General features: G+C 36.0%; 1 protein-coding gene and 1 long non-coding RNA gene across 15 annotated transcripts in view; one reads left to right on the top strand and one right to left on the bottom strand.

Annotated features, from left to right (window-relative positions):
* ZFY-AS1 (ZFY antisense RNA 1) overlaps positions 1-7,140 on the top strand; it is a 35,808-nt gene extending 28,668 nt beyond the window's left edge. The window contains exon 3 of the long non-coding RNA NR_144458.1: positions 7,020-7,140. This is a non-coding gene — a long non-coding RNA (ZFY antisense RNA 1). The remainder of the gene's footprint in view (positions 1-7,019) is intronic.
* Positions 1-18,535, bottom strand: part of ZFY (zinc finger protein Y-linked) — a 47,126-nt gene that overhangs the window by 8,548 nt on the left and 20,043 nt on the right. For 11 of the 14 annotated variants that reach the window (NM_003411.4, NM_001369706.1, NM_001369703.1 and 8 more), the window contains one exon: positions 12,313-12,885. The exons of the other annotated variants lie outside the window; for them this stretch is intronic. In NM_003411.4, the coding sequence (NP_003402.2) occupies positions 12,313-12,885 (573 nt within the window). The remainder of the gene's footprint in view (positions 1-12,312; positions 12,886-18,535) is intronic. 14 annotated transcript variants of the gene reach the window in all.

Here is an 18,535-nt window from a genome sequence, read left to right as displayed (position 1 = left end):
CCTTACTTACCGATAAAGTGAACATATGATTTCCAACAGTGGGCTCAGGGAATCTACAACAAACTTTTAAGTGTTACACGGTAAGGGAATCAAGTGTGGTGTTATGCTTGGGACTTCAAAATTAACAAAAGTAAAAAATAATGTCTTAAAAAATACATTCTGGATTGCAGTAAATACCAAAAATACAACCCCCATATAATGTAACCTTACACTACACACCACTGTGGGCACTGACTACTATCTTTAGCATAACAGAAAGTGTGGCACAGACTAATGAACACATAGCACATAGTACAATTTAATTTATCACAAAAATTGGATTTTTCAATGTTTGGTCCATTAGAGAAACACTAAGTAATGTTCTCTCTGTTCTGGGCCCACCTGGTCAGTATGACACAGCAAGAGACCAACCACAGAGGAGGAGGACCCCAAGAAGTTTTTTCATTTCCCCTTTCCCATTTTAGTTTTGTTTTTGTAATCCTCTGCTGAATATATTTCATTATCCTTTTGGCTAAATGTTTATGTTTAAGTCAATTAAACAATGATTCACAACTATCAATCAGACTCTGGGCAAGTATTAGAGGTGCAAACTTTAAAAGAAACTGACCCAAGGCCAGGCGTGGTGACTCACACCTGTAATCCCAGGGCTTTGGGAGGTGGACGTGAGTGGATTGCTTGAGGCCAGCCTGGCCAACATGGCAAAACATGTTTTCTACTGAAAATACAAAAATTAGCTGGGCATAATGACACATGCCTGTAATCCCAGCTTCTTGGGAGTCCGAGGCACAAGAATCGTTTAAACCCAGGAGGCAGAGGTTGCAGTGAGCTAAGATCTCACCACTGCACGCAAACATGGGCAACAGAGAAAGGCTGTCTCCAAAAAAAAAAAAAAAAAGTAATGGACCCAAGAAATTTGTAATTCAGTGAAAAAGCAGACAGGTGAACAGATGATTATTTTAAAATGTGATCATAATAATGTAGTTACTTTTTATTAAGTGATTACTGAAAGCATTACTTAATACTCATAACTCCATGAGGAAGTGCTATAATACTGTCGACATTTTACAGTAAAGCAAACTGAAGTTTAGAAAACTTGAATGATTTATCTAAGGTCACACATCTAGTAACTGGCAAAACCAGAATTCAAATCTTGATCCATGTAATTCACAAGAAACCACCATCAACCTCTGGTGTTTGAAGAATGCTGTTAAGTTTAAATTGTTAGAGGCAATAATAATTTTTTGTAAGAAATAAAGAACAGTATAACAAAAGATGTTTTTCATTAGTGTAGAGCAGATAAATGTATTCACAACTCAACTACAATAAGCATTACTTACAAAAGGCAATGGTAATAGTTTTGACTATTTTAGGTTTTAAATTCTTAGTCTTAACTTTCAGCAGTGGCTTATAAACACAGAATTTAGATTTTGAAATCTCTGCATACTTTTCAAATTCCCCGTCTTGTTCTTCAAAAGATCCAAAACTATATTTGTCTAATCAAAATTATCTAAAGCCAACATAAAAAAAACAAAAATACAATGACGATATAATTTAGTTTCTTACTAGAAATTATGGACTACTTTCAAATAGCATCTCCTTGTTACAAACACGGATATTATAAAATCTAACTACTTAACCTACAATATGAGAACTTGAAACACTGGGCTACTAAAAGCAACTAAAACTTAACTACTTAAACACAAGATGTAAGAACCCAAAACAATGGGGAAAAGAGTTTTTTTGTCTATTTTGGATACAGTAACATTGGCAAATCACATTTTAATATACACTTGTCTTCAAAACAAAATGTCACTTAGACACTACCTGATTCCTTAAAGTAAATTTAAAAGATTACTTAGAAGAAAAAGTTAAAATCTCTCTTTTTTTTTTTTTTTTTTTTGAGATAGGAGTCTCAGTTACTCAGGCTGGAGTGCACTGGCGCTATCTCAGCTCACGGCAACTCCCAAGTTCAAGTGACTCTCCTGCCTCTGCCTCCCAAATAGCTGCGATTACAGGCATTGCCATCAAGCATTGTTAATTTTTGCATTTTTAGTAGAGATGGGGTTTTGCCATATTAGCCAGGCTGGTCTTGAACTTCCCGACCTCAAGTGATCCACTTGCCTCAGTCTCCCAAAGTGCTGGGATTACAGGCTCAGGCCACTGCACTTGGCCTAAAATTTCTTTAAACATAAAAATATACTAATTTTGAACTCTAGTGCAATCTTTAATGTTAACATTGGTGTAAATTATTTTTATTAAAATTGATTCATTTTCTCATCCAATGAAATAATATTTTATAAATTTTCAAGGTGTCCATATGAGTGTTACTATAAAACAGGCTGGGGAGTCAGAAACGTTTTGGCAAATGTTGCAAAGTGCAATAACAGCTGCCACAAAAAAAAGTGAAGGTACGTTATGTAGACTGGAAGAGAATGGCACTTATTCTATGCAAAGGATACAGCAGGTAGGGGGACAGGACAGTAAGAGAGTGTGTTCTTCAATACTGCTGCAAATTAGGCCATAGTGGGAAATGTGAACTACAGGTAAAGCAAAACCAGGTCATGGAGGACTTTATGCACCAGGCAGAGGGGCTCAAACTTAATTCTGGTAGACTGCAAGTTTCTCAATCTGATTAAAACCAGATCTGCAGGTATGGAATGAACTTGTATACAAAATAGACTTCAAGGTATCCTACTCTTGGGGATTCTTATCAGAGATCTGATAATTTCTGCTTTTAAAAAGACCAGTCACTAAGATCAGTATTTTTGCCAAAGCATCCTGCTGGCCTTATAAAAAAGCAGATTTGAAGAGATCAAGAAATGAAGCAGGGCACTACAGCTTCAAGTACATTTAGGTGACAGATAATGAAGCCTTGAATCAGGACAGAGGTAGTATAAATTGGGATAAAGGCTGGAGTTGGGTCATATTTAAGAATAAACTGAGAAGACGGAATGAATGACATATGAAGCCACCTACAGAATATTCAACTCTGAAAGCTGAAGATCAACACCAATTTGGAAGCCATCAGCAAACTGCAGTGTAAAGAAAATCATGAGCTGTAAAGAAATCATGAGTGTAAAGAAAATCACAGTCCCAGTGAGATTACAATTTAAGGCAGGGGCAAGAAAGAATTCACAAATTAACCTAAGTAGTAAAAGCTGGAGAGGTAATTGGAAGGGCATGAAACAAGCTAGGGAGTTAAAGATTCCAATAATGCTAGTAAAACCTGCTGTAATAACACAAGCCAATCAGCTACGAAAGGGAGAGGTGAGGAAATGAGAAGGATGTCTGTCTTTATAATTCACAGCTTAATTTTTAGCTAGTCATGTTATCTCACTTCTCTTTGTTTTCCTCAGAAAAAGAATTACAGTTTTGCTGACAAAAAAAATTGGATGTTGGATTTCCACTGGACTGCATTTTGTCTAAATTAATATCATAAAAACGTTGCTATTCTTTTGCTTTGCAGTCTTACAATGCAAGAACATGGCTTGTGCCTCTCCACTCAAATTGTCTCATCTTTCAAAACCAGGTTGTTAAAGTTCATTTACCACCAACCTCAGAAACAAACAGTTTACCTGATTTCTCTCTCCTAAGGTTTCCAACCAAACACCCTGACATTGGTATCAATGGTATCAAGAAAATTGGTATCAATTTTCTGTCTTCTTAAAAGAAAGATCCAGTTACTTTACCCTCCAGCCCTAGTCTCTAGCACTCCTTTTCCTACCAAGTAAAATACAAATTGCACAGTCTAGCAACCAAAATCTGCCCAAACTCCTTTGGTCTTTACAGTATTATTGTCCTCAATATCTCATGGGCCCCAAATTTAAACAATACTATTTTATTATTTATTCCCTTATGCTTCTTCAACTTTGCCCTAAAAGATAGCTTTTTCTTGAGATGATCCACTTTAATATTTAAGAAACTACTTAAAAATTAAAGAGTGCTCAAAAACAAACCATCTGAAATATGAATAGAATTTACAATAATATTATTCAGATATTTCTCAATGCATATATATAAGTAAAAGAACAGAAAGGACAAATACAAGTTTAAAATTAAAATTGAAATGTTACTTTTAAACAAAAATTTTATAGCAATTTGAACAAGTAAAACAGCTTAATTCCATGGCTGGTCATTCTAACTGTTCTCTTGCATATTTTTTCAACTCCTATGCCCCTGACTGATTTCATAATACTTGGCTGGCAAAACCACAAACCTGCCTGATATAATTTATGTCAGCATCTACATCTATGCAGCTAAGTCTAGATAGAAAAAAAAAGCATGATGTAGATAGCATCATCTTTAAATATACAATATGAATCTTGAGTAGATGCTATTTGCCATATTTTTCTTAAAATTCCAATACTGCCTGCCTGTTGATCTTATTTCCCACCTTACGAAGAACCCAAAACAGAAAAGATGATCTGCTGTCTGCCACATCTGTCCTACTGTCAACAACTAATTCACAAACTTTGTATTTCCTGCACACTGCCACAGACAAGCAGTGTTCCTTTCCACTTAAAAACAATACCTCCACATAAGCACTAAATTATACCTTCTCTTTTCTGTTTTTTTGCAGTTATCCCTTAAACCATCAATTTATCTATCACCCAGTAAAGGAACACTCCCATCAGGAAACAAATAAGCTTTTTCTCTTGAAACAACACTAAAACAAACAAAAATTCCATCTCCTCTTGATCCCACTTCTCCTGCAAGCAACTGTTTCATATCTCCAGTGATTCTCATTGCACATTCTTTCTCTAAACTTATTTAATACTTCCATCAAGCTTTTGTCCATGATTTCACTGAATCTGTTCACCAAAGACATACATGACCAATTCTGAGTCCTCATCTGACTTGCCTAAGTTGCTGCATTTGATGCAAACTGTCACTGTCCTCTCTACTAAGATTAATACATGCATTTCCTTTTTGAAGTTTATGATACAACTCAAACTGAAGTCTATGACAAACTGTCATCCTTCCAGCAAGGCATCCTTGACCATCTCTGAAACTCACAATCATTTTGATTAAACTCTTCTACTTTCCCAAGACACATTCTAATATACATTTAAATAATTTGATACAGGTACAGCCATACTACAAGTCCACAATGATGAGAGAAAGGAATCTCTATTTTGTGCACTGATGTATCTCAAGACTTGACAATACTGTCTAGCCTTAGTAACTATCTAACATTCAATTTGTTATATGAATGATGATCAATTAAATGTCTATTAATTCAAGAGAAGATTTTAAAATACTCTAAGAAAAATACGATAAAAATAATAGGTAGGAATCATATTGTAAAGATATTATCTACTGTCACCTGCTATAAAAGATGAAAACAACCGGGCACAGTGGCTCACACCTGTAATCCCAGCACTTTGGGAGGCAGAGGCGGGCGGTTCATGAGGTCAGGAGATTGAGACCGTCCTGGCTAACACGGTGAAACCCGTCTCTACTAAAAATACAAAAAAGAGACTACCCAGGCATGGTGGCAGGCACCTGTAGTCTCAGCTACTTGGGATTCTGAGGCAGGAGAATGGCGTGAACCCAGCAGGCGGAGCTTGCAGTGAGCTGAGATCCTGCCACTGCACTCCCGCCTGGGTGACAGAGCAAGACTCCGTCTCAAAAAAAAAAAAAAAAAAAGTGAAAACATGAACATATTTGCACATCATGCCACGGCAAATATTTTCGTTAATATTTTGTAGACATTTACCATGTTACATAACCTTAATTTGTATAAATGTTTACTCCAATTTTACATTAAATTAATTCAAAAATCACTACTCATTATTTTATCAGTTCTCCATTCTTGAGTCTTTTTCTACTAATTCATCTTTTGGTTTATGGTACCAAGCAGCAACTCCATCACACATGGGTGTTAAAATTTCTGAAATCCTGGATGTTTGAAAATGTCTACCTGTAATTTTGACTTGAATAATTTGTCTGGGTATAAAATTCTTAAGCTATACTTTCCTCAGAAACTTTAGGCTTTGTTGCACTGTGTATAGCATTGAGTATTTTGATGTGGGTGACTATATAATTCTTGATCCTTAAGTTCATTAATATAATGATGATTATTAATAGTTTTTACTGGGTGTGGTGGCTAATGCCTGTCATCCCAGCACTTTGGGAGGCCGAGGTGGGTAGATCACCTGAGGTCAGGAGTTCAAGACCAGCCTGACCAACAAGGTGAAACCCCATCTCTACTGAAAATACAAACATTAGCCAAGCATGGTGGCAGGCACCTGTAGTCCCAGCTACTCGCGAGGCTGAGACAGGATAATTTCTTGAACCCAGGAGGCGGAGGTTACAGCGAGCCGAGATTGAGCCACTGCACTCCAGCCTGGGTGATGGAGCAAGACTCCATCTCAAAAAAAAAAAAAAAAGTTTTATTCGTCTCTCAATTTCTTAGCAGAAAATGAATTGCCTTAAAAGATTCCAATTTTTTTTTTTTGGCACTGAGAGGAAATTCACATAATATGAGTTACTATTGCATAGTATGTAAAGCATACAAACCAGTGGGTTTTCAGACAGCTGTGCAAATTCACAGAGCTGTGCAAGCAACACCACTAATTGCAGAAAATTTCTATCACCCTCACAAGAAATCGCTGTACCATTTAGCTACTACTCCCTATTCCACACAACACTATCCACGAACACTAGGCAACAATATACTTTTTGACTTTACATACATACCTATTCTAGATACTGCACCCACTTCTTGCACTTTGACACAATGTTTTCAAAGTTCATCCATGCTATGGCATTCATCAGTGCTTCATTACTTTTTATGATCAAATAATATTTCATTAGACAGATATACCACATTTTATCAATTCAACTGATAGATATTAAAGTTGTTGCTACTCTTTGGCTACTATGAATAATGATGCTATGAACATTTGTACAATATATAAACTGTTTTGTGGACATATGTTTTCAGTTCTCTTGGGTATATCCAGAAGAGAGCTGCTGGGTCATATGGTAATCCTATGTAAATTTAACTTTTCCAGGAATTGCCAAACTTTGTCACAATGGCTGTACAACATCAGTGAGCCGAAGTCATACCACTGCATTACAGCCCGGGCGACAGAGAAAGACTCCATCTCAAAAAAAAAAAAAAAGGATGGATGGAAGAGAAGGAAAGGAAGAAAGGAGAAAAGGGAGGGAGGGAGGGAAGGAGGGAGGACTTGTATGTGAGAAGTGACTTCTACCTTACTGCTTTAAAAAATGTATCTGTCTTTTGACAACATAAAATGTCTTGTGTCTAAACATGGATCCCTTGTAATTCACGCAACTTCTTACAAGTGAAGATTACAGTTTTTCATCAAATTTGTGAAGTTTTCAGCTATTATTAAACTATTCTTTAAGCCAATTTCTTTCTTCCCTCTCACTCCTGGTACAGTATATCTTGGTATGCTTACTTCATGGCGTTCCATAGATTATATAAGACTATATTAATTTGTCTTATTTTTCTTTCTCTTCAGACGAGATAATCTTAATTGAAGTTCCTACAAGTTTGCTGATTCTTTCTTCTGCCTGTTTAAATCTACTTTTGAGTTCATCTGGTGAAATCTTCATTTCAGTTGTCATAATTTTCCACCCCAGATTCTATTTAGTTCTTTTTAATTTCTGATTATTGATATTCTCCACTTAATGAGACATCATTCTCCTACTTTCCTTTATTTCTTCACACATGACTTCCTAATTAGGCCTTTGAACAATGTAATATAACTGATTTATAAGCTACTCTAGTTACTGTGTCTGGACTTCCTTAGAATGAATTTCTGTTGGCTGTGCTTTTTCTTGCGTATAGGCTGTACTTTTTTTTTGGTTTTGTGCCTGTCTCATTTTTTGTTGTTGTTGAAAACTGAACATTTAAAATAATATAATTTGGCAACTGTGAAAATCAGATTCTTCATTTTCCTAATGTGTGTTATGATTGGTTACTGTTGCTTAGTAAACAACAGTACTGTGACTTTCCTAAACTAATCCTATAAAGTGTGTGTGTGTTTTGTCATATGCAGCAATTTAAAAGTCTATCTAATTACATAAAATACATATTCAGCTTATGACTTGACAGAGATGTGTAGAACCAGCAGTTTTTGGCTCCACATGCATGTTGAAATATTCATTCAGGCTGTTTATAGTTCTACACTGGCTTTTATTTATTTGGGCAGCCCTTGAAGATTACCCGAAGTGTGAGCCTAAGGCCTTGCCAAGCCTTTCCTTAGCAGGGCCACAGACCTGGCATTATCACATTCAAGATTATCAGGAATATGTCCCAGTTTTTCAAAGCCCTCTGGACTCTTCATTCCACTACTGGACTTTTCTTTCCTTTTAAGCTTTAGTGTATCTATTGTTTGCCCTAACTGTATCAATTGCCTTAAAAACCAGTATGTTCAACAGCTGTCTCTACAATTTTCAACCAACAACCCAAAGGAGAAGGCTGATCATACTACAGAAGTTCAGAGTCTAAGTCAATAGTCTAAGTGAGGTCTTGGGTGCAGTGGCTTACACCTGTAATTCCAACACTTTGGGAGGCCAAGGTGGGTATATCACTTGGGGCTAGGAGTTAGAGACCAGACAGGCCAACATGGAGAAACCCCATCTCTACCAAAAATTAAAAAAAAATTAAAAAAAAATTAGCTGGGCTGTGGTGGCGCAGCACCTGTAGTCCCAGCTACTCAGGAGGCTGAGGCACAAGAATCGCTTGAACCCAGGAGTTGGCAGCTGCGGTGAGCTGAGATCACAGCACTGGGGTCCAGCCTGGGTAAAAGGGCAAGACTCTGTCTCAAAAAAAAAAAAAAAAAAAGGGTGGGTCTTGCAGGTCACCACCAACAGGTCAAATAATATCAGTTCTCTAAAAATGGGCCTTTCTTCCTCCTCCAGTAACTGCCAGACTACTGTTTAAAAGAAAAAAAAATTTTTGAGTCAGAGTGTTGCTCTTGGTTGAAGTGCAGTAGCATAATCATAACTCACTGCAATCGTGATCTCCTGAGTTCAAAGGATACTCCCACCTCAGCCTCAAGTAGTTGGGACTACAGGTGCATACCACCATGCTCACATAATTTTTTAACTTTTTTAGAGATAGGGTCTCACTATGTTGACCAGGATGGTCTCAAACTCCTGGCCCCAAGTGATCCTCCTGGCCAAGCCTCCCAAACCACTAGGATTACAGGCATGAGCTGCTGTTATCTTCCGTGACTGCTCCTTTTTTTATATTTGTCAGATGTCAGTTTTTAAGGCTAACGTACAGCTTGGGAGGAGTGGATGTAAACAGCAAATTAAAAGGGCACAATCTCACCAATATCCAGTACCCCCTCTATTGCTACAATCATTTAGTTTTCAGAGTGCTGAAAAATGTTACTCTGATAATTTTTTAACCATTGTTCTCATTATTTTTATAAAAGAGAAGTTTTTCAGTGTTCTTTACTCTGCCATTTTCATTGCTGTACTCTAATCATTCCTAATTTCAGGAAAGCTTTCTTCCATAACTTTCTGTCATATTAATTGTTTTCTTCTTTTCTGTATCTAAGTTTGCCTTCTGTTTCTCATGTCTGCTAATCTTGTCCATAATCATTTTTACGTCTGTTTTTTCATCATTTCATTTTGGCAATTTTCTAAAGCCCAATCAGAAGGTCTCCAGTCATATTAATACTAATCCACATTTATTTTAATTGCTGCTTTTATAGTCTCTTTTACCTTGATAATGTTATTTCTCTGTTCAGCTTCTTTCCTAAATTCCAACCGTTTGATTTCTATCTCCTTTGATTAGCTTATCTCCTTTGAAACACTGCGCATGTGCTTTAAGATTTTCTAAATACATTTTAGAGTTCCTACATAAAAATCATTAGTTTTTGAAAGTCTTATGAAAAAACACGTTTCAGAAATTTATCAAAACTTAAAACAACCTATCTCCCTAAAATATCTTTATTCACTTTTCAGAAATCATCCCTTGTAGATATACATTTTTAAAATTCTTGCATTTGGTACCATTTTGCCAAATGGTTTTACAAAACAAAGCAAAACTAGTAGGTAGCTTAAAACATATATATATATATTTAGATATATACGTCTAATAATGAGTTATAGAACAGAAGGATAAGCAAAATTAATATATGCAATGTGTATATACAAAAAATATAAAATAATTACAATAAACAACTACTTTACCAGCCCTATTCTGCTCTAATAGCCACTAGAATCATTAAACAAATCATCAAACTGTATTGATCCATAGGCTTTCTGCTTTAGATATGAGGATTGGGCTTCATTTATTCATTTAATCACTGAATGTTCACTATGACCAAAGTCATAATTTATTAGAAACACCAGGTAGATTGCTAAAACAACTAACTAGATGCCCTTTGGATGAGACATGATATGCACAAACGTTCAGCTATAAAGTTCACCTAAGTGTTCACTCAACAAATATTTTATACCAAATATGCACAGGTTTGAGGGGGACCTGTCCTTAAAGATGATATAATCAACTTAAAAGCCAATAGTAACATCTATACTGTAAAGAGTATATAAAGAGGTCATGTTGATCTCAATAGCACTTAGGGTGTAACAGTGAGCACTTTTGTGCAGATATACTACTGTGATACCATAGAGGACTCTCTCATCATTTTAAATGAGATATTCAGAGGAGAAAAACCTGCTACTAAAGACAGAAATAAGCTCTTAAATCCAGTAACATATTTTAGATTGTAAAGTGTACTTAAACAATGTTTTAAAACCTTTAATCTATGTATTAAATAACTATATTAAAGAATGTAAAAGATATTACCAACTCTCATAACATTATGGAAAGCATTAAAGCTTACTGTCAATGACAGTATTCTCAGTATTCTCTATATTAATATAAAATCAGACCGTACTTCCTTTATATACTTTAAGAAAAACCTGTCAACCCTAAATATGTCCCCTTACCCTCAGCCCTACAGGATTTTTAATTACAAATGCAGCATGAGAGTAGATATTTCTTCTGGAAGAAACAAGAGCTAGCAAAAAAAAAATTGAAATAGCTAGATAAATTCAGCATATAAAAATATTTATTATTACATTTTCAAAGAGCTAAACACCACCTTACTCCCCCTTTTTTTGGGCACACCAGGTTATAAACCGAAGGTCAAAAACTGTAAATTATTAATCTTAAATATTTAAACACTTCATAGAATAAGTTTTTACACACAGAAATAAATGTTTATTAAATCAGTTGAATGAGGCTGTTTAAAATCATTAAGCAGGTTCAGAGGGAGGTAGAAAATTATCATTATCAGAAAACTAGGCCATAATGGTACACTTGATCATATAAGAGGTAAATGCCTACTCTCCCTGTGCCCACGAAAATGCCTGCACAACTCTTTTGCTGTGCTATGCTCAAAGACACAGGAAGAGGAGTGTAGGCGGTATTTAATATTAATGGGAATGCTCTAAACTAAATCTACACTATAAAACTTCATTCCAAAGACCGTAGTAATGAACTGGTCAATTAGGATAACTAAATTATTTAAATCAGCAGGTAAATGACACAATGATTCCGTAAGTTGTAACCATATTAACGTAGAAAATATACCTAGATATTGAAGTTAAAAATATTAGAGACACAGAGTCAGGGATTTTAGTAACAGAATGACTACAGCAGCTGCTGCATAAGCAAAAGTATGTCCAGTCATGTTCTGGTTGACAAAGTTATAAACACAATCAACAAAGCCAGCATCCCATGAGGATTAGTGAGCAAAACATAAAACTAGTACAATGTAAAATTTGAAATCAATTTCAAACCTAAATAAATTAGTGGTTGATGGTCTTGGTGAGACCACTGTATTTCAGAGAATTCACTAGATTTAACTCCAAAGCCAGTAATGAATTAAACAACAACAAAAAATCATTACTTAAAGAGAAAACGGACAATAAGGTAGAAAAAAAGGGGAAAGTGAAATGACTACATAATAAAAAGACTTTAAAAAAACTGATTACAAGTCTCAGGGATAAATCTGAAGGTGAGTAACAGACCAATCATACTTTGTATGATTTCATAAGACTCAATTCTGTTATTTTCATTTCTTATTCTTTCATCCTTATGTTCTATCCTAATATAGAAATAACTCTCTTCTGCACCATGTCACTTAATTACGGTTTATCTTCTGGGATGCAAACTAAGCAACAATGCATGTAGGTTTATCATTTCTACTTTAACTTTACAGAAGTTAAACTCAATAAAATTTCACCATTATTTATGTTAGAAAACACAGGTTTCAAAAACATTGCTTAAAATCACTGTACCCCATGACTTACACGAAATCATTAGGTAGTCCTCACAGCTGGCTTTGTCATTATCTTGCTGGTCCACTGAGATCCCGCTGGCATCTATGACTGCTTCAGGGGCACAGTCTGCTACCAATACTTCTTCTGAAACTATGTCACTCGTCAGAGGATCAGTAATGATTTCTGCTTCCACTACACTATCATGCACCATATGTTCAACATGTCCAATGTCACACACATGCATGGATTCACTCGTTAAAACATGTTCTGGCATAGACATTGAGGTTGAAGTAATGTCAGAAGCTAAAACATCATCTGGGACTGTGCAGTGTGGTAAAGAAACTTCTTCAGTTACATCTGAGTCCAGCACTTGCTCAGGAATGATGACATTTTCAGATACATCTGCCTCTTCTAAGATATCTGAGCACTGAACATCCTCCTCTATGACAACATCTTCAACAACATCTTGGATTACAACTGAGTCTGGGTCATCAGGAACAAAGTTATGCACAGTTATGTCAGAATCCACAATATTAGAAACAAAAACTGCTTCTTGTATTTCCACAACAATCTGATCACCATCCATGTGTGTAGCATCAGCTCCTTAAAGAATAAAAATTAAAATGACAAATCTCAGGTAAGTATACATGACTAAATATAGTTTTTATTTAATTTCTTCTGGGAAAACAGACTATGTCCTTGGTGTTCCTCAAACATTGAGACAATAAATAAGAGAATGAATCCACTTTTGATTCACTTAACAAACAAATTTTTAACATAAAAATTTATTTTACTCAACCCTAATCAACTAACAAGAAAAGAAATACAAAAGTAAAAAAGAAATATAAAATCAACTAACAAGAAAAGAAAAATAAAAAAAACCTTGGGGCAATGACAGAAAAAAACTATTTGTGAAATACTTTTAAAACATCAAGATAAAAAATTTCTCACCCCACTAAAATAAAATCTTGAGATTTTTATATAAGTTAAACAACAAATTCAGAAAACAAATATACTATTTCTTCATTACATGTTTCATTCATTTCTCTTCCTTCTTTCATCATCTCCTTTCTTAACACATTACTTTTTTTTTTTTCATTATACCTACATATCTCGTTTTTACCCTTTCTTTTTTCTCTTTCAGCCCTTATAATCTTCCCACTTTGTCCTGGTGCAATATCCCATCAATATCCACTATAACTTTGGTAATTAGAAAGTAATTCTTTGAATCTAAGACAAAAGAATCAGGGTAGAAATTAAAAGAGGAATAAAAAGAGGAAAGACATTAGGTTTAGAGGTTTCTATAGATAGATAAAATGGGCTGGGCTGGGTGGTGAAGGGTGGGGGTGGTTGGAGTGGGGCCTGCCCTAATTTTGCCAGGGTATTCCACCTCCATCTATCCTCCTCCTGTTCCCACTAACCCCAAATCCCAAGGTAGTTCCTCAGAATATATAAAAGCATTTTCTAGTGCTGGGTGCAGTTAAGCAATGAAGGTAGAAGGGTGAGAGCCAGTTAAAGCCCACTGAGATCAAATGACTTAACCAAGATCACACAACTTGCACAGCACATCATGCTCAGTAAATATTATTCTAAATGAACACCACAAATAGGAAGAGAATTCATACAACTTTAACAAAAATATAACCTAATATGAAACAAATCAGGCATTATGGCTACTAGTGCATAGAGAAAAGCAAACATGGATGACTATTAAAAGCTATTCACGTATCACAAGCAGTTAAGATTTCTCTTTTTCCTTCTGCACTCTCACTACCTCACCGGATTTTTCTTAAAAAAAAAAAAAAAAAGAAAAGGAAAGGAAAAAAAGGCTATTTATCTGATTAGTGTTTCTGATTGTAACTCAGAGTAAGCTGAGTCCAAGTGGGTGCACAACTCGGTGATTGTGTACCTGTGGCAAAGCCCTCAAATAAACACACAGCTTCTTCAACAAAAATGATCACCAAGGGCAAACCAACAATAGATGTTGCAGGAAGTCTTTAAAGTAGTTAAAACCTACTTAACTTATATGTTGAAAGAATGTTTGCTTTTATTTTTATACATCTTCTACAAAATGTTTTCTACTCATTTGTCTTCTATGTTCATAATAATAGACAGCAATAGAACAGTGTAATCCCCATTGCACAGATATAAATTTGATAGCATTTAGTGGCAACAGCACTGGTTATAATGGTCTAAATCAGAGGGCAAAGTGTAGATACTTAATAGTTTTGTGACCTTGGACCAAGTCATCTAACCTCTGAGTTCAGTTTCCTCAACAGTAAAATGATGTCAGTAGTATCTGTCATGCGCACCTCACAGGACTATAGTGACCAAATGCGAATGCATGGTAAGTGTCCTGAAAAAAATGTAATCAGATGTTTCATTATTATCATGCATATGAAAATGGGAGCTTGGGCAGATTACATGACTTCCTCAAATTTAAAAAAAATACCATTTCAAGTGTTAACAATCAAGGCTAAAATGCAATAGCCCTTCAATCTACCATTTAGCCCTGACTCAGGCTTGATTGTGGCAAGATTACACTAAAAAATACTGAGTTTTCCCTAAGAACTTAGTCTCTCTTTCAAACAAAAAATCTGAAAGGGTGGTGCAGACTGGTGTTAAAAACCTGGCCACAAGCAACCCTCTTGCTGTGGCCTCCCAAAGTAATTATATTTCACTATGTTCCAGAGAAAGAAAGAATTATAGGTCTGCATTTACCATTAACAACCTGAAAGTACTTAACGGTGAGTCAAAAGAATATCCTAAATTGCTTAGCAAATATACGCACACACACAAAATTTAGAAGGTATATTTAAAATTCCTTACGTTTCTTGGTAAAGTTAATTACTATTGCTAATATATGGCAATGTTCATTTAAAATTCAGTTAATACAATCATTAAAATTTTAACTTAGAGTATGAAACAGAAAAATAAAATCTAGTTTAATTATAGCATTATGTATTTAGAACCATGACCAATCTGAAATTGAGAATACTTTTTTCCCCCTCTTGTTTAGGTATAATTTTCTTTTTGCAGTTTTGGAAATGAGGTAAGGATGCATCTGCATGATATAGAGGCTCCTTTTGTGAACATGTGAAAGGGTTACAAAAGTTCGAACAGAATCAATTCCAGAGGACCTGGGATTTATAGTTTATTTCCTGGGCAGTAGAAAGGTATGATCCACATGTTTTTCGGGACTGAATATTCTACCACTAGGGTAGGTGAAAGAAAGAAACCAAGAGTGAAAAAAGAGTCTTAATATTATCAGTTAAGAATGAGATAATAGGGCCTATATGGCCCTAGGAACTAGCATGAAGAAAAAGCTGTGTCATAAGCAGACTTCTCTCAGCACCCCAGACAATCTACACCCCACCATATGCCCCACCAACCAAATCCCCAAGATGTTTATTCTCTAATCACTAGAACTTATGAATATATTATGTTATGACTTATATACCACATGGGCAGTGCAGGTAAAATTAAGGTCATGAACTTTAAGAATAATTTGTTAAGCACAATCCGCTCAGATAAAACTTAAAAGCAGAGGGCTTTTTATGTCTGGAGTTGGAAAGTTGAAGCAGAATCATAAATTGAAAAGATTTTATGTATGAGAGAGATCGAATTAGCCTTGCCTACAGTGGCCACATGGAAAGCATAAGAAACAACACAGATTTTGTCAAAAGGAGCAAAGACTAGCCTGTTAGCTCACAACCAGCACATAAATGGGGACTTCAGTCCTATAGCTACAACGAACTGCATTCAACCAATGACCTGAATAACCTCAAATTGGGTGCATCCAGAGAACAATGAAACTGGATTCACCAGAAAGGAACAAACCTCTGGCAATACCTTATGAAACTAGCTGCACCATGATAGAATTCTGACCTACAGAAACTGTGAGACAATAAATTTGTTTTGAACTGCTGAGTTTGTGGTAATTTTCATTGCAGTAACAGAAATAATTTCAGATTTTGGTGTCGAGAAGTGGAGAGCTGCTTATACAAATACCTAAAAACGTAAAGTGGCTTTGCACTTGGATAGGTGCCAGCTGTAAAATTTCTTACAAGAATAAAGAGAAATTCCAGCTCTTAGGAAAATGAAAAAAAAAATTATTTTTACAGAATGAAAAGCTTAGATTCTGTTGAGTGGAAAAAAGCCTAGATTTCCTTAAATAAACCAATAAGTAAAAACATGAATGTTAAAAATAACAGGCCGGGCACAGTGGCTCATGCCTGTAATCGCAACACTTTGGGAGGCTGAGGTGGGAGGATAGCCTGAGCTCAGGAATTCAAGATCAGCCTGAGCAGTACAGCAAAACCTCATCTCTATTTTAAAAAATTCCCCAGGCATGGTGGTGTGTGCCTGTAGTTCCAGCTACTCAGGAGGCTGAGGCGGGTGGATCACTTGAGCCCAGAAGGTTGAGGCTGCAGTGAGGAGCCATAATCATGTCACTGCCCTTCAGCCCTGGTGACACAGTGAGACCCTATCTCAAAAACAAAAAAAAAAAACCAGTAACAACTCTGCCAGTGAGAATCCAGAGGGAGAAGGGATCAAGGTAGAGAAATCCTACATGGACTCAGAGAATACCTACGTCATGTATGACTGCTAGTAGAAATCTGGAGTTTTGTAACACTGCTTGTAAGGGCTTAAAAGTGAGTTTCTATCTGAAGGAAAGAAGAGCTTTGTTACATAAAAAGACAGACCACTTAGCAAAACTGTCTCCCTGGGTTATGTGGAAAGCACAACTTGAAGACAAACCACTTAGCAAAATTGTCTCCCTTGGTTATGTGGAAAAAACAACTTGTAAAAATCAACTCTTTAGCTCAGAAGATTTCAGCAAAGTGTTGGACAAGTGGTCTTGTTTCTACTTAATGCTTAGAGTAAAATTCAGTGAGAAAAATGAATAGTTGGAATATTTATTAAACAAAAAGATAGCAAAACATGACAAAATCAGAAGTTTTCTGTCCATCTTGGGGGCGGGGGGGGGGTGGGGGTGAAAGGGGAGGTTAAATTAAGGAGATTCCTTGTCAGAGCAAAGCCTCATCTGTATTTACAGCCACTTCCCATCACCGGCATCACTGCCTGAGCTCTCGCCTCCTGTCAGGTCAGAAGCAACATTACATTCTCATAGGAATGCAAACCGTACTGTAAACTGCACACGTGAGGGATCTAGGTTGCATGTTCCTTATAAGAATCTAATGCCTGATGATCTGTCTCCTACCCCCAGATGGGATGGCATAGTTTCAGGAAAACAAGCTCAGGGCTCCCACTGATTCTAAATTATGGTGAACTGTATAATTGTTTCATTATATATTACACATAATAATAATACAAATGAAGTGCACAATAAATGTAATGCACTTCATTCATCTAGTAACTATCCCCCGAACCCCACTACTCCCAGGTCTCTGGAAAAATTGTCTTCCATGAAACCAGTCCCTGGTACTCAAAAAGGTGGGGAACGCTGATTTAGAGAGAGAGAAAAAAACAGTATGTGATTCTCAACTATTCCATGAACCCTCAGAAAAAACAAAAGATTCCTTCAGGCACCCGATCATTAAACAAGAAAAGTAAAAGTTAAGGAAAAAGGAAAGAAAGGGAAAAGCCAAGGTGAAAGAAAAAGAAAGAGGAAAGAAAAAGAAAAGGCAAGGGGTAAGGAAAGGTAAGGTAAGGTAAAGTAAAGTAAGGTAAGGTAAGGTAAAAAGAAAAAGGAAAGGAAGTGGAGGGAAAGGAAAGGGAAAGATCAAAAGGCCAGAGAATTAAGTCTTTTTCAAGCAAGTAAAAGTGTGACTTACACATACCCAACACCTCTAAGAAATCTAAGGATATTGGACTTCAACCATTTTAGCAGAAGTCAAAAACAGACATGGGATAATCTCAGAAAAAAAATATATTAGCCTCTTGCCTAATACAATAAATCCCCATGACACACGCAAAATTTTTTTCAAAAGAAGCACTGCTAGCTTAAACGGAAAGGGACACAGAATCAATATAATGAAGACAGTTGGACTGACAGAATTCCAGAGGCAGGAAGCAGGAAATAAAACTATTCAGCTGCAAATACCTGCTATCTTTGAAAAAAATGGCAAGGAAGACTCAAAGGGCGGAGCCACAGGCCAAAAAGGATTATTCCCAGGTCTTGAAACCTAATGGGAGTTTGTCCAGCTGCATTTCAAAATTTCTTCAGACAAATTTCTCTTACCTTTCATGTCACCCTGTTTGAACCAGAATATCCCAAACTGTCCTACCA

This window comes from Homo sapiens, chromosome Y, assembly GCF_000001405.40.
Source record: "Homo sapiens chromosome Y, GRCh38.p14 Primary Assembly".
NCBI lineage: Eukaryota > Metazoa > Chordata > Mammalia > Primates > Hominidae > Homo > Homo sapiens.
The sequence above is the reverse complement of the archived record's forward strand: the minus strand, read 5'-3'. Positions and strand labels throughout refer to the sequence as shown.